General features: G+C 44.5%; 1 long non-coding RNA gene across 1 annotated transcript in view, besides 1 other annotated feature; it reads right to left on the bottom strand.

Annotated features, from left to right (window-relative positions):
- Positions 1–16,051, bottom strand: part of CFAP20DC-DT (CFAP20DC divergent transcript) — a 724,471-nt gene that overhangs the window by 235,019 nt on the left and 473,401 nt on the right. The window lies entirely within an intron of this gene.
- Positions 555–849: a silencer, noted in NCBI's record as "tiled region #3507; HepG2 Repressive DNase matched - State 12:CtcfO". NCBI's record gives its function as "represses a minimal TATA promoter and a strong SV40 promoter by Sharpr-MPRA in HepG2 cells {active_cell/tissue: HepG2}" and the evidence as "EXISTENCE:reporter gene assay evidence [ECO:0000049][PMID:27701403]".

Here is a 16,051-nt window from a genome sequence, read left to right as displayed (position 1 = left end):
AGAGGAAAATAGTAGCAGAATTAAATTCTAAGCAAAAGGGACAGGTTGGCATGTTTTTATTTGAGAGGACGAATCCCGCTGTGAGTTAACTCTTGGTGGCTTTTGTCTGGTGATGCTGAGTTACTTCTGGGACAATAAGCACGAGGCTGCTGCTATAGTCTCAAGATTCAACAGTAAATCACTGTGTATCCCTGCATCGTGTTGTTATTCTATGGATTAAACAAGATAATGCATGTAAAATGCTTAGCCCATAGTGGCATTTAATAAATAGCAGCTATTATTTCTGATATTCTCATTATCAATATCATTACAGCAATAATAATATTGTCACATACTAGCACCGAGTGATCCAATTTACAGTCTAACAATCATGCAGATGGAAGACTCAGCTGCAGCCTACCTGTTTTCCAAAAGGGGGTTAAAACTGATTTTCATCTTTTCCCTTTTTACGGTGAGATGATGAATATAAAAGTGTTTTGTAAATTCTAATGTATATTTCATCTTTTTTCTGAAAAATTAAAAAAATTAAAAGGCTCTCCCAATTTGTGGTCTCCAAGGTATTTTGCCTGCTACATTTTATTTTCAAAATGTTACCAGTACTTAATTCTCCCTGGTTCTCAGCAGTGGAAATGCTACGCCAATTGAAAGCCTCTGTCTGGAACACAAGAGAAATTCCGCCATCTGCTGGCCACTCGGAGAACTGCTCGGGAGAAGCTGCCCACAGACCCGTAACTACGGGGGTGGTAAAGGTGCAGGAAGGCTGACAGTCACCTGCCCGGTGGTTTGAGATCCAAGGGGGCATGGAGGACCCAGCCATCACTGTGGTCTCTGGAGGGTCACAGCTTGAATCCGTCTGCCATGCTCCTGCATGTGTGGCATCTGTCCCTGCCTGTCTCTCAGGACAACACCTGCCTTTGCAACTCTAGAAGCAGATGATAATTCAGAGACAGCAGGCCTGAGGTGCCAATCACTCTGTTCCTTGGCATTTTGCCCCATTCTTAGCCTGGCAGCACATCAAAGCCTGTTGCCTTCTGGCCTCTGCTGGAGGCTTAGGCCGCCACAGGCTCCAGGTCTCCTTGGCTATGTCCCTTCCTCTCCCCAGGGCCTCCACCATGTGTGAGACAATGCAGCCCACCAGGAATTGAGGCAGGGGCCACCCCCACTGAGCTGGGTGAACAGAGATGCTGTCCAACCCCAGGGCTTACTGCGCCAGGTTCCACCTCTCCTGGGCAGTGAGCAGCTCTTGTCAAGTCCTTATTTTATTTAATTTTATTTTTTATTTTTTTTCAGACGGAGTCTCGCTCTGTCACCCTGGAGTGCAGTGGCGCGATCTCGGCTCACTGCAAGCTCCGCCTCCTGGGTTCACGCCATTCTCCTGCCTCAGACTCCCGAGTAGCTGGGACTACAGGCGCCCGCCACCACGCCCGGCTAATTTTTTGTATTTTTAATAGAGACGGGGTTTCACCGTGTTAGTCAGGATGGTCTCGATCTCTTGACCTCGTGATCCGCCCACCTCGGCCTCCCAAAGTGCTGGGATTACAGGCGTGAGCCACCGCGCCCGGCCCAAGTCCTTATTTTAAACACACATTTCAACACAGAGAAAGCCTCACACACAATGGAAGGCTCTTAGCACCTAGGAAGAGGACTCTAGGAGACTGCTTCTGAGCCAAATGCATTAATGTGTAGACCATACAGAAGCTGACCCATGTTGAGCACTTACCATATGCCAGGCATTGTCACATGTGTTTTCATGGATTAAGGCATTTAATCCTTACAACAACTCTCTGAAGAAGATACAATTACTATCCTTATTTTACAGGTGAGAAAACTGAGGCACAGACAGTCCCAGCAGCTTACACAAGGATTTCTAGCTTGCCACTGGTGGAGCTGGGACTTGAACCCAGGCTGCCTGGCTCCAGAATTCACATTTCCAATCCCTATGTTTGATCTAAATACTTAATTTAACATGGAAAGACCAAACACAGTAATACTCCTTATGCACAATTTTGCTTTCATGGTTCCAGTTACCCAAAGTCAATTGGAAGTCAGAAGATATTCAATGGAGAACTCCAGAAATAAACAATTCATCAATTTTAAATTGCATGCTCTCTGAGTGTGATGAAATCCTGCTCTGTCCTGCCTGGGATGTGAATCCTCCCTTTGTCCAGTGTGTCTGCACTGTCCACACTCCCTGCCCATTAGTCACTTGGCAGCGAGTTTGTTTATTAGATCGACTGCCAAGGGACTGCGTGCTTGTGTTCACGGAACCTGTATTGTACTTATTAAAAGCCCCAAAGCATAAGAGTAGTGATGCTGGGATATTGTTGTAATTGTTCCATTTTTATTATTGTTGTCATTAATTTCTTACTGTGCCTAATTTATATTAAACTTTATCATAGACATGTATGTATAGGAAAAAAATATAGTATATATAGGTATACAGGGTTTTGTACCATTCGTGGTCTCAGACATCCACTGGGGGTCTTGGAATGGTCACCTGAAGATAAGGGTGGACTACCGTAATGCAAGAGCATGAGAGGTCATTGACATGATGGAGTCTTATGATCACAAGCAGAGGCTCCCCGGTACTGACAATGGGGATCCAACTTGAGAGATCACAGATGAGTGATGGCTAGAGTGAAAGAAGGAGGTTCTGGGAAACAGGAACCCAGCGAGAATCAGGGATGGGTCAGTACAGTCATATGAGAACATGAAAGAGATAGAGACCAACAGGAAAACAAAGACCAAGGGACAAAAGTCTTATCCATTTATTTAGTCTTCATATTTATTTATATTTATTATTGAAACTGAATAAACTTAGCTCAACCACAGACCCATGCAGCTCGTGGAGCTGAGGAGGGGCACTGCTGATAAACAGCATGAAATAGTTCAGTTGCCAGACTGGGGGTTGGCCTTGGTGTTAAACCACTGCCCAACACGGCAGGACTAGCGGACCATCTTCCATGCCCTCAGGTGTGGTGGACTGCTCACACCTACCCATCCCTACCACCAACAGGCCCTGCGAATGGCACTGTCACTCTCACAGGGTCTACAGGAGGCCAGGCACTGAGACTGCTGGGGAGACCAGGAGACTGCATTACATACTACATGTACCCCACCTTCATGGAGTTTACATTCTGGTGGGGGCAAGGGAAGGGCACAGAATGCAAACAGGTAAAGTAAGTAAAATAGTTACAAATTGGAAGATATGCTTTAAAGGAAATGAACAGGACACTGTGCTGGTGAACAATGGGGAAAAAGATCCACTGAACACAGAGAAAACCCAGCAGTGTTTGGCCAGGCCTCTCATTTCAAAGGGCCTCCTATTCCCAATGCTGCGGAGCCTTGCAAAGGTGCAGGGGGCAACTTACAGACCGAAAGATGTCACACTTGCGGCTCTGATCAGTCCTGTGCCAGGACCTCACCACCACACCGCAGGACTCAGCTTCTATGCTACATGTTCTTTTAATGAACTCTCCATCTTCTTGTGTGTCAGTGAATTTGAGTCCCATTGTATCTTTCATTGTGATAGACAAATGATATAATTTTAATTATTCTGCAAATTTGGGCCCTTGATTTGGCTTTTCATTTGTTGGGGGAGGCGTGGGAGCCTCAAAAACAGGTGTGTTTAGCTGCTGGTGCTGAAGGAAGGCCTCCAGGAGGGGGGTGGACTTCAAGTTGGGAGCTGCAGGAAGAACTGAGGGGAAGAAGGGCACTTCCAGCTGTATGATGAGGCTACTACCTGTTTGGAGGACAAAAGCCAACTCTCAAGGACTTACATTAAAAAGAAAATTTAAATACAGTTAGGAAATAAAAGATCTCGGTAAGTTCTAGTAGAAAGGCGTAGAATAAGTCCAAGACAAACCGATTCTAATTTAGCCAAAAGTGGGAAGAACAAAGACCTTCTGTACAACTTAACACTATCCTTAAGCTTGATTTCTCAAGATTCACAGGGAGAGATTTTGAAATGAATCACTGAATTGTAAGAAGCTAGGTCAACTGGCAGATTGTGTATCTCAGATTCATCCTGCTTCTGAAAATAGGCATTAAAACTGCAGCAACCTGGAAAAAATAAAAGCTGAGGTGGGATTTTAAATGACAGCCATAAGGACATGCCTTGTGGTGAAAGATGGTGGTTGGATAAGGAAGGGCTGCTCAGCTGTCTACTAAGGGACGCGGTCTCTGGTTCATTCCTCAAGAGTTTCCATAGGCTGCACAGGACAACAGCTTTCTCATTTAGGCTGGAGTTGAGGATGCTTAAAGTTTTGTTTTTTTCCACAACTACCTGCACTTTGAGGGCAACAAAGTGAGAATGACTCATGAGAGATGGTCCTGTTTGGACCAGAGGCAAAGCAACAACCAGCCCATCTGGGGAAAATTTGTCTCTAGGAGAACAGTGTTTGTGTATTGATAATATAAAATTAGATGACAGCATCCCCTTCTTCTCTTCCCTACCACCAAGGAGGAACTGAACCTTCAGAAATCCACTTGTTTTTTGTTTGTTTGTTTGTTTGAGACGGAGTCTCACTCTGTTGCCCAGGCTGGAGTGCCTTGGAGCAATCTTGACTCACTGCAACCTGTGCCTCCTGGGTTCAAGCGATTCTTTGGCCTCAGCCTCCCAAGTAACTGGGACTACAGATGCATGCCACCATGCCCAGCTAATTTTTGTATTTTTAGTAGAGATGGGGTTTCACCATATTGGGCAGGCTGGTCTCAAACTCCTGACCTCATGATCTACCCACCTTGGCCTCCCAAAGTGCTGGGATTACAGGCGTGAGCCACCATGCCCAGCCAATTTTTGTATTTTTAGTAGAGATGGGGTTTCACCATATTGGCCAGGCTGGTCTCGAACTTCTGACCTCATGATCCACCCTCCTTGGCCTCCCAAAGTGCTGGGATTACAGGTGTGAACCATCACACCCAGCCTCCAGGAATACACTGTTTAAATTTCTCTTTCACAAGTGATGCCCTGGTTAAATCCCTTCATCACATTTTGCATCTCTTCTTCAGATGAGTTTCCCAAGAGAAGAGCTCAGTCTCCCTCCCTGGTTACTCAACTAATGTCTAAAATGTCACTGGTCCTCACTATTTATTAAATGACTGAATTGCCAGATTATCAAAATCCATACATACTACCAGAGAAGTCTCTCTGGCTGTTACGAAAAGATTGGTTTCTCCTAAATCAACAGTCACTGAGAACCAACCATTCATTGAATAACTCATTCACTTCACAACTGTATATCTAGCAAGGATCTTAGTAAGTGCCAGACCCCTTGCAAGATTTTCCAGACACAGCAGCAAATAAAACAGACAAGATTCTGGCTCCCAGGGAGTTGATAGTAGGTAAGACCAGGGATCATCACACATTTCTATAAAGAGCCAGAGCATAAATATTTAAGGCTTTGCAGGCCACTTGCAGTCTCTGAAGCATATTTTCTTTGTATTTTTTGTATGCTTGTTTTTAACAACACTAAAAAATATAAAAAACCATTCTCATATCAAGGGTCTTTCAAAAATAGACCACAGGCCAAATTTGGCCCATTAGCCCTAGTTCGTCAACACTTGTTTAAGACAGACATTAAACAAATGCCCTGAGGATGACATCAGTACAGGTGAGATAAGCACGTAGGAGAGTGAGAGAGGAAAAAAAGGCTGCGTACATACGGCCAAGATTTTGGAGGGGTCAGGGAAGGCCACCAGGAAGGAGAAGCATTCAAAATATGATGTGATGGAGGAGCAGGGCTAACTCAGCAAAGAATGAGGAGCGTGAGGGAGGAGGGCGAGGGGGCTGAATGAAGGGAGAGGGGCTACAGGTAAAGGCTTTGAGCAGCACAGCTGAGCGGGATCCAGATAAAAAAGCCTTGTCAACTGTATCAGGAGCTTGGATTTTACCTTAGGTACAACGGAAGCCTTGTAAGGGTGGGTTTTAAGGAGAAGAGTGCCTGGATCTCCATGAAATTGAAGGAACTCTTCTGGCTGCTGGGCAGGTTCTACTCTGAGAAAGTAAGAGGCTAGTCCACTGTAGCCTTGTGCTATGGGTTCGATTGTGTCCCCTCCTCCCCCGCCAAAATGTGTTGAAGCCCTAACCCCCTACTCCTTGGAATGTGACCTTATTTGGAAATAGGGTCCATTACAGATATAATTTGTTAAGATGAGGTCATACTGGAGTAGGGTCCAACAAATGCCTGGTGTCCTTATAAAAAGGCAGGCATGTGAAGACAGGCACACAGGGACAACCCCAGATGGCATAAAGGCAGAGTGTGGCGTGCTGCAGCTGCAAGCCAAGTAAGGCCAAGTAAGGCCAGAGACCTCCAGAAGCCAGGAAGAGGCAAGGAAGGACACCCTTGCAGGTTTCAGAGGGAGCCTGGCCCTACTGACCATTTGATTTTCAGATTTCTAGCCTCCAGAATGGTGAGATAATATAATCCTGTTGCTTTAAGTCACCCAATTTGTGGTGCTTCCTTCCAGCAGCCCTAGGAAATAAATACACCTAATGGGTGACAATGACTAGGAAAGAAGGAAAGAAATGCACTGCTTTGAAAAACATTTTAAAGATAGAATTAAAGAGCTTTGAGATGGGTTGGATGTAGGGAAGTGGGGAAAAGGAAATGTATAGGCTGGCAATCCACACCCAGCTACTGCCCTTGGTTACCTGTGGAAGGGCAGCAGTGATTAGAGGGAAGGAAGAAACAGCGAGCATTTCCTTATAAAATACACCACTCCATCCTTTGTCTTCTTAAAGGAGGGAGTCGGACTTTCATAATAAAAATGATAGAGTAGAACAGTAAATAAGAAAAGGAAGGAAAAACTGCATGACTGCTAGGGCTGGCTTGAAAATCCCTGTGGATAGAGGAAGCCTGACTGCGCTTGTGAAACTAAAGCAGCAGCGAAGGTTGGGGTAAGGATAGACCCAGATTTCAGCTTGGGGCATAAGGCTGAGATGCGGGAAGGTTATTACATGATGGGAAGCTTGCCTTGCTTTGAGGGGTCTTCTGATTTTTAACCAAAAGAAAGCAGAAAGGGATATGGCAAACAGACATAGAGATATCTGCAGGAGGCAGAAACGTGTGGCTTTAGAGAACAGCTTCCTAAATCAGCCCATCATGGACACACGTTCTGCATTGGTCTTCCCACGTCTGTCTGGTGCAGGACGGGGTAGCCCTTCAAAGCAGCATGTTAGCTTTAGGCACCTCCTTCAGAGGAAGCACTCCATGGAAGAAATAAAAAAGGCTGAATGTTATTTTAATTGAATTTGTTTTCAATTTATTCTCAGCTGTCTAGGGAAAAACCTTTAACACTCACATCATTTGATTCCTTTTTACTTTGTGTCCATTATCCTCATAATGAGCTTTTAACGCATTAATGCAGCCCTGTTTGCCAAAGAGTAATTCAGTTGCTCAAATCAATAAGTAGCAAAAGCATAAAAATGTACCAAATTGAGACAATGAACCAGAGTATAAATGGAAACCTTCATCTTCCACTTCCTTAAAAGTGGGGGCTGCATTCTGGTGACCTTCTGATGCTACAGTATCAAGGTGAATATGCAGAAATTCCTCTACTTCATAAATTCCAATTCTCAAATGTCCATCGAACCATCAGAGCTAAATGTTGGAGCCAACAGGAAGCTCCCCTGCCTGTCAGTGGCATTTAGCCTCAGCCTTCCCATCTGCAGTTTTTTCCCAGCAGTGTGCTGTAGTTGAAGCAATATCTTGTTATAAAAGTATTTGCAATGAAAAGGGGAAAATCGTAATGCAAACTTCTATGGAATTTTTTTAAGGTTCAAAGGAGGTAAAGAAGAGTGGGAGCTTTTGCCATCTTCCTCTATGGTTCATGCCTCTAAACATCCATATAGATGACATCTATTGCTCATCGTGTAGTGCCACCTTAGGCGTAAAGAAAGTAAAACAGCTCTTCATATTGTAATATAGGAACTCCTTTTGAGGGCTTAGCATGCTGCTTAATCCCAGCAAGAAGGAAGATTTGCTCTGGTACCCTTCCCACAATGGTAGCAGAGAGAGGATGATGCCTTGGGATTCAACTAATCCAGAGCTTCTCCCATGCCTACCTCTGCCAGGATCTTAGCCTACACCAACTGAGAAGCTCATAATCATCGAGTAGAGAGCTTATATATACCTTTCTCCTATGAGTTCTGTCCCTCTAAAGAACCCTAATATAGAAGTAAGAAACAGCTAGAAAAAGAGGAGTCTAGAGTCCAGATAACATTTCAGTCATCAAACCTCCCCAGCTTCCCTGATCCTTGCCTTTCTGAGACTTGGCTGCTCAGCATGTCCAGACTGGTGCGCTTCCCCCAACATTCTTTCAGGAAGTACTGGGGAGCTCATAATGATCGAATGGAGATCCCAAACTGTGTTCAAGTCAACACTGCTTCTCTGAAATTTGATCAGACATTCCAAGAAAAATGCATTTGCTTCAGGAACTTTGGGAATCCCTGCATACTCAATTTGTCTCTATGATACTCCAAAGTGCATCAGCAACAAGTTCTGCAGCAAAGAATTCTACTTATTTTGGTTTAATTTGACATTTTCCATACTTGTTTGACTGAAAAAGCTTTAAAAAATTTAAAATATTTTAATAAAAAACACCAATTCACATGGTAGAATACAAGGAAAGTATTTAACCTAAGAATCATTTTAAGAAAACTTAGTGTTATCACTGGTCATTAGAGAAATGCAAATCAAAACCACAACGGGATACCATCTCATGCCAGTTAGAATGGTGATTATTTAAAAGTCAGGAAACAACAGATGCTGACGAGGCTGTGGACAAATAGGAATGCTTTTACACTGTTGGTGGGACTGTAAATTAGTTCAACCATTGTGGAAGACAGTGTGACAATTCCTAAAGGATCTAGAACCAGAAATACCATTTGAAGCAGCCATCCCATTACTGGGTATATACTCAAAGGATTAGAAATCATTCTACTGTAAAGACACATGTACACATGTTTATTGCAGCACTATTTACAATAGCAAATACTTGGAACCAACCCAAATGCCCATCAGAGATAGACTGGATACAGAAAATGTGGCACATATACACTATGGAATACTGTGCAGCCATAACAAAGAATGAGATCATGTCCTTTGCAGGGACATGGATGAAGCTGGAAGCCATCATCCTAAGCCAACTAACACAGGAAAAGAAAACCAAACACCACATGTTCTCACTCATAAGTGGGAGTTGAACAATGAGAACGCATGGACACAGGGAGGGGAACATCACACACTGGGGCCTGTCAGGGGGTGGGGGCGCAAGGGGAGGGAGAGCATTAGGACAAACACCTAATGCATGCAGGGCTTAAAGCCTAGATGACGGGTTGACAGGTGCAGCAAACCACCATGGCACTTGTATACTTACGTAACAAAACTGCACGTTCTGCACATGTATCTCAGAACTTAAAGTAAAAGAAAGAAAGAAAGAAAACTTAATGTATCACAACCCAAACTGGGTTTTCATGTTTTGACAAATGTTTTCATGTCACATCATCCTCCTAACCAAACTATGCCACTGTTGTCTCTTTCAGTCTCCCCCGCAAAGCATCAGGTCCTTTAGGGCAAATGTGAGGCCTTATGCATTTGTAAGTAGGTATTCATTACCTACTCAGTTACTCATTAGGTAAGTGAGTGTGAAAGAAGAAAAGCTATTTAGGACTCATTTCTTTGCCAATGACAAAAACCTAGATCAGACAGCCTGAGAACGTTAAGTACTTACTGAAAGAATGCCGGAAGAAGTGCACAGGTCTGGACATGCTGAGCAGCCAAGTCTCAGAAAGGAAAGGATCAGGGAAGCCGGGGAGATTTGATGATTTAAGTATTATCTGGACTCTGGACTCCTCTTTTTCTAGCTGTTTCTTACTTCTATTCTCTATTAGGGTTCTTTACAGGGACAGAACTAATAGGATAGATGTTTACAAAAAGGGGAGTTTATTAAGGAGTATCGACTCACATGATCACAAGGTGAGGTCCCACAATAGGCCATCTGCAAGCTGAGGAGTAAGAAAGCCAGTCTGAGTCCCAAAACCTCAAAAGTAGGGAAGCTGACAGTGCAGCCTTCAGTCTGTGGCCAAAGGCCTGAGAGCCCCTGGCAAACCACTTGTGTAAGCGGAAAAGTACCAAAGCTGAAGAATTTGGAGTCCGATGTTCGAGGGCAGGGAGCATCCAGCACAGGAGAAAAATGTAGGTTGGGAGACTAAGCCAGTCTAGTCTTTCCATGTTCTTCTGCCTGCTTTTATTCTGGCTTCTCTGGCAGCTGATTAGATGGTGCCCACCCAGATTGAGCATGGGTCTGCCTTTCCCAGTCCACTGACTCAAATGTTAATCTCCTTTGGCAATAACCTCACAGACACACCCATGAACAATACTTTGCATCCTTCAATGCAACCAAGTTAACATTCAGTATCACCATCACATGTTCCTTTCTGCAAGCTGGCTTTGTTCTCCCAAATAGCCAATCCTCATAGCTATACAACTAAAGAAAAAAAGTGACACCCTCTTAAAAATTTCCTGAGAAGAATTCTAATTGGCTTGACTCATGGCCTGGGCCTACTATGATTGGCCCGCTTGAATCTTGTGCCCATTCCTGAGAGTGGGTACTGTGTTTAGAAGCCCTTATGAGAATCATGTAGTTGGAGTACGGAAAAAACGACCCCCTAAAGAAGCAGGAGAGATGTGTTTCACACAAAAGGAAGGTGTTCAGGTTGACATATTATGCATGTCTATACAGACATGAAGAAAGGACTACTGGTTCTGGGGAGAGAATCATAACCATTCTTCCCCTTCCTTCATGCTCTCTAAAATCAGCCAAACCACATACATGTTGTTATGGACAAAGCAGCCCACTTAGTTCAGGTGCTGCCCTTGCATTCTGCGTATAACCTGTGTCTGCTTCTCCCAGGAGGAAAGCACACGGGGCTAATTGCATTAGCAGGTGCAGTACTATGTTGGTGATTCTGTGCCTAATCTGCTCATTATGCAGCTGATGTCATTTTATAAGTGGAGAGAAATAGTGTTATCACAGGAGAAATGAGCTCTCTTGCTTCTTGAGAAATTCTCTTAAGCCTAGACAAAGGGGTTTTAAGTTTATCAGCCTCCCCTTTGTGACACCTCATTCTAAATGATGTATTAATCATTTGTTGATTATACAGATCAATTAAAGAGGTTTTACAGGTTAGGTTAATTAAATCTTTGGTAGAACTTCCTATTTATTTAGACCTTCTGCTTTGCAATTATAAAACACCACCCAACCAGCATGTTGACTTTTAATAAGTTGCAAACAAGGGTCGTAAAAGAACATATTCCCCTCATTGTACTCCTTATAAAGTGTTCTTTTTTCTATTACATCTCTCTGCATAGTTATATCCACCTGCTAATCCATCCCATCCAGCCAGCCATCTATCAGTCAGCCTGTATGTCTATCTTGGTATGGTTTGCGCTACCAAAACTCATGTTGAAATTTGATCCCTAATGTGGCAGTGTTGGCAGGTGGGGGCCTAATGGGAGGTGTCTGGGTCATGGAGGTGGAGCCCTTATGAATAAATTAATGCCCTCCCAGGAGCTAAATGAGTTCTTAGTAATGGATTAGTTCCCAGGAGAGTGGGTTGTTACAAAGAGTCTGGCTTCCCTGGTTTTTCTCTCTCGCTGTGTGATCTCTTTGCACAGTTTCTGCCATGAGTTGAAGCAGCCTGAGGCCCTCACCAGATGTAGCTGCCAAATCTTGAACTTCCAGCCTCCAGAATTGTGAGCCAAATAAACCTTTTCCCTTCATAAATTATGTAGCCTCAGGTATTCTGCTATAGCATTAAAAAACAAACTAAGACATCTACCTGCCTATCTACCTACCAACAAAGATTTTTAAATCTGGTAGCCTTGTCCAAGTAGATGCTTATCATCAGTATCATGCAGAGGCATGTGATTGTTCAGAGTTAGAAAATGGCAACCCCACCTCCTACCTGAGGAATTTGGGTAGATCCAGGCTCAGTGTTCCCTAACTGCCTTAGTCTCTGGACCAATCACAAGTGGCGATGCTCTGGTGGCAGAAACAGACCACAATTCAAATGCACATCAGTGTACTGTATACCAAGAATCACTCCTTCAGAGCCATTGGAATGAAAACCATTACCAACACCAGTTTGTCTGCCCAGAAGACCAACCACAACTATGTAGACTCACTCATCAACCATAAGGCCTGTGGGACATTTTTGTACCCCCCAACTCCTGCCTTCTTCAACTCCACTGACTCTTAGATTTTAACATCCCTCCAAACTCCATCTCCAGAATCAGGTCATGTTTGCAGCAGAGAACAGCAAGGAAAAGGTTGGACTCCCTAATGAACAATCTCTTGAGGAAGTATCTTTAAAAATAAAACACTGTTCTCATGCACACCCACACCTCACAGAGCCTGCCTGGGACCACAGAATCCAGCACGCTCTCATTCACCACTTGCCCCTCCTCACCTCGCACTCCTAGCCAAACTCTCCTGGCACTCACGGTCACTTTTTTTGTCTGTTTTTAAATATTTACGTCTCAATGAAAAATTTGTGATTTTATGCACACTCAGAACAGACAGACCCATGCCCCATGTTTAATGATATACGTAGCTCATTTCATGTATTTTTGAGGGTTCTAGTTCTTTCCAATGCTGCATTTTTTCCTCACATGAAATATAACATTTTGTATCCAAAACAGCCTTTGGTTTTAGGATAAGGTCTTTTGCTCCCATGTCTGGGCATTGTTTTCTTTTGCCTTCAAGATGAAAAACAAACATTCAGCAGCAAATGTTCAAGGGGCATCTACCATGTGCCAGAAACTGCTTTGCAAGGCATGGGGGACCTGGCGGTGAGTGTAGTCTACTGGGGAATAGTCGCCTGTCAATTGAAGCGCAGCCTCATACAGAGCTTCAGGGGGCAGGATAGGGTGGTGCCGTGAGCCAGAGGACTCACTCCCAGCATATACTCAAGTAGTCTGGGAAAGGTTCCTAGACAAAGTGACTCCAAACTGAGGTCCCAATAATGAGTCAGAGTTAGGCAAGTAAATGAGGGGACAGGGCAGAGGATGGATGACTGGTTGCTGAGTGGTGCAGGTTGGAGGTGGAGCTCCCATGCAGAAAAATGGCCTTTTAAATTAAAACAGAGACAGAGAGAAAGAAATTGGACAAGATGGAAGAAATGCATCCTGATAGGAACACAGCCAGAGACAGATGGATGCTATTGCTGGAAGAACTTTATAGGCCACATTCAGGCTGATCTTGCAATAAGCAACCCTCTTAAAAACCTTCTAGTGGGCTTGGCTCCCTCTCGCCACCTACGAGGACTGGATTGGAGAGGGAAGGGCAAGACTGGAGTCAAAGCAGCCCGCTTGGCAGCTAAGGCAGTGATGAGCAGCATGAACCAGGGCAGAGGCAGGGTACGGGAAGAAGTGCAGCGCTTGGTGACTTGGCTGGAACATGGGGAGGTGGCCAGGATTATCCCAGGTTCCTTGAGTAAGGGATGTTATTCACAGGGCTGGTCACACAGGAAAAGGAGGCAACCTAGAGAAAGACCATGGACCTGAGGAAAGGTGACTGTACACATACGTGTGAGTGTATGGAGCCTGCCCACCATGTCAAGTCACTGAGGGTAGGCCAAATCATGCTGTGGTGACAGCCAGAATAAGCCCAGTAACAAACGTGGCTCACACCGAATGTCCATCGGCAGTGGGCTATAGCTCTGCCCATATCACCTTCATTCTGGGATCCAGGCTGAGAGGCAGCCTCTGACCAGAACACTTGCCTGTCTCATGGCAGAGGAAAAGACTCTGAAGTGACACACTTCACTTCAACCCACTCATATAGTTTGGATATATGTCCCTTCCCAAATCTCTTGTTCAAATTTAATCCCCAATGTTGGAGGTAGGGACCTTATGGGAGGTGACTGGATAATGGGAGCGGATTTCTCATGAATGGTTTAGCGCCTTCCCCTTGGTGCTCTCCTCCTGATTGTGAGTGAGTTCTCATGAGCTCTGCTCATTTAAAAGTGTGTCACACCTTCCTGCTCTCTTTCTTGCTCCTGCCCCTGCCATGTGATAGGTGTGTTCCCTCTTTACCTTTTGCCATGATTAGAAACTTCCTGAGACCTCCTCAGAAGCAGATGCTGCAATGCTTCCTGTACAGCCTGCAGAACTATGAGCCAATGAAATCTCTTTTCTTATAAATTACCCATTCTCAGGTATTGTCTTACAGCAATGCAAGAATAGCCTAATACACTCACATTGCATTGGCCAAAAACAAGTCACAGAGATTTCCTAAATGGGACAGAGGTGTATAAATCTCTCAGAGGGAAGGTCACTGGGAGATCTGATGGAATAGGTAACACACTCTACCATGCATAGGAGAGGTGGCTAGAGACCCATTTACAACATCCACTCAAAACAAAACACTAGCTTCTCTCATTCCCAGTTGGTGGAGCTGCTTGTGCAGCAGCACTTTGGGATACTTGCTTAAGAGAAGCAAATGGACAGGTGCAAAGGGCACATGACACCTTCATCAATGCAGCCTCGTGTAAGTCCATTGCCTGTCTAAATTTGAGTTTCCTCATCTGCCACATTAGGGTACTAAATATAGAGGTTCTTCAAAAGTTCCTTCCAGTTCTAAGATTCAGTGGATCTGACCTCTACTCTGCTTCTGTGGTCTGAGCACTTGATTCTCAGGCCTTTTGCCTTTCAGTTTCAAAGGCAAGGATCTCTCTAAGTGCCACATGGTTATGTCTCAGGAGTCAATATTCAGAGGGGGTACCTAAGCCTCTGTGATTCTTGGGGCATGTGTTCTGCCAACTCCTCATTTCTCACTGTTCTGAGAGGGTCTGCCTTCTCTGCCAGGTCCTGTCTCCTGCACTGCATTAGGGACTAACACCTTATGCTTGGCCTACTTCTTAATTCTTTCCTGAGAAGGCCTCGTGGCACCTTTAGCCATGGCTTGTCATCCCATCAAACTGTGAGAAGGCCAGAGGCTGAGCACTTGGACCCTCCCCCTCCAACTCCAAGTTGTTGGCTTCACTTGATCCTCCTTCATCTTGGCTGATTTCAGGGCCAAGGCTGCCACCGTCCCCTGCTTCTGCTTTAATTTTTGTCCCCTGATGTCCATCTAGTGAACAATGATGCATTACAATGTCTAGGTGCCCAGGGCTGCAAATCCTTTCAAGATATAATCAGTTGAAAGGAAGGATTTTGCATCCAAGGCTGATGCCAACCTGACTATACACTTATTACCAAGCCTGTATAATTAAAACGAACATTTCATATACACACAAAACTGTCATCTTGATGCAGAAAAATATGAGATGAAAAATTCAAGGAGGCACAGAATACAAAGAAAATGGCAGAGGAAGTGGGGTCAGCAGAGAGAGGAAAGAGAAGAGACTGGGGAAGCCTTCCACTGAGAACCACACCGGCTACATTAGCCTTGTTAGTTAAAGTCCACCATGCAGAATGCAATTCGGTTTACTGGTTAATCTGTTTAATTAAGGAAATGGCATTTTGCTGGATTGCCTTGGTCTGTGTTCATGTAAATGTAGAAGTACTTCCAACAGCAGCCACTCAAAAAGTCTGTTCCAAAGCACTCCTCCGACGGAAGGTATTGTGCAGTGTTGCATTTCCAAACACTGCAGAACTCAGCCGTGGGCTGTTGTGACGGACAGACCCTAAGATGGCCCCAGTGAACTCTGCCTTCTGGTATTAATGAATTTATGTAATTCCCTCCCAGTTAGTCCTGGACGGGACTTGCTTCTAATCAACAGAATATGGCAAAGGTGATAGGATGCCACTTCCATAATTATGCTACATAAGATTTTAACTCCCATCATGCTGGTAGACTCTTTCCCTTACAAGCATGAATGAAGCAAGCCTCTGCATTGTGAACTCCCCTATGGAGAGGGTCACAGGTCAAGAAACTGAGGGCCGCCTCTGGCTGACAGCTAGCAATGAGACCCTCTGTCAATCAGTGAGATTGAATTTTACTAAGACGCTGAGTAAACTTGAAAGCAGATCCTTCCCCAGTTGAG

Source organism: Homo sapiens, chromosome 3, assembly GCF_000001405.40.
Source record: "Homo sapiens chromosome 3, GRCh38.p14 Primary Assembly".
Classification (NCBI taxonomy): Eukaryota; Metazoa; Chordata; class Mammalia; order Primates; family Hominidae; genus Homo; species Homo sapiens.
Note: the sequence above shows the minus strand (reverse complement) of the source record. Positions and strands in the feature narration are given on the sequence as shown.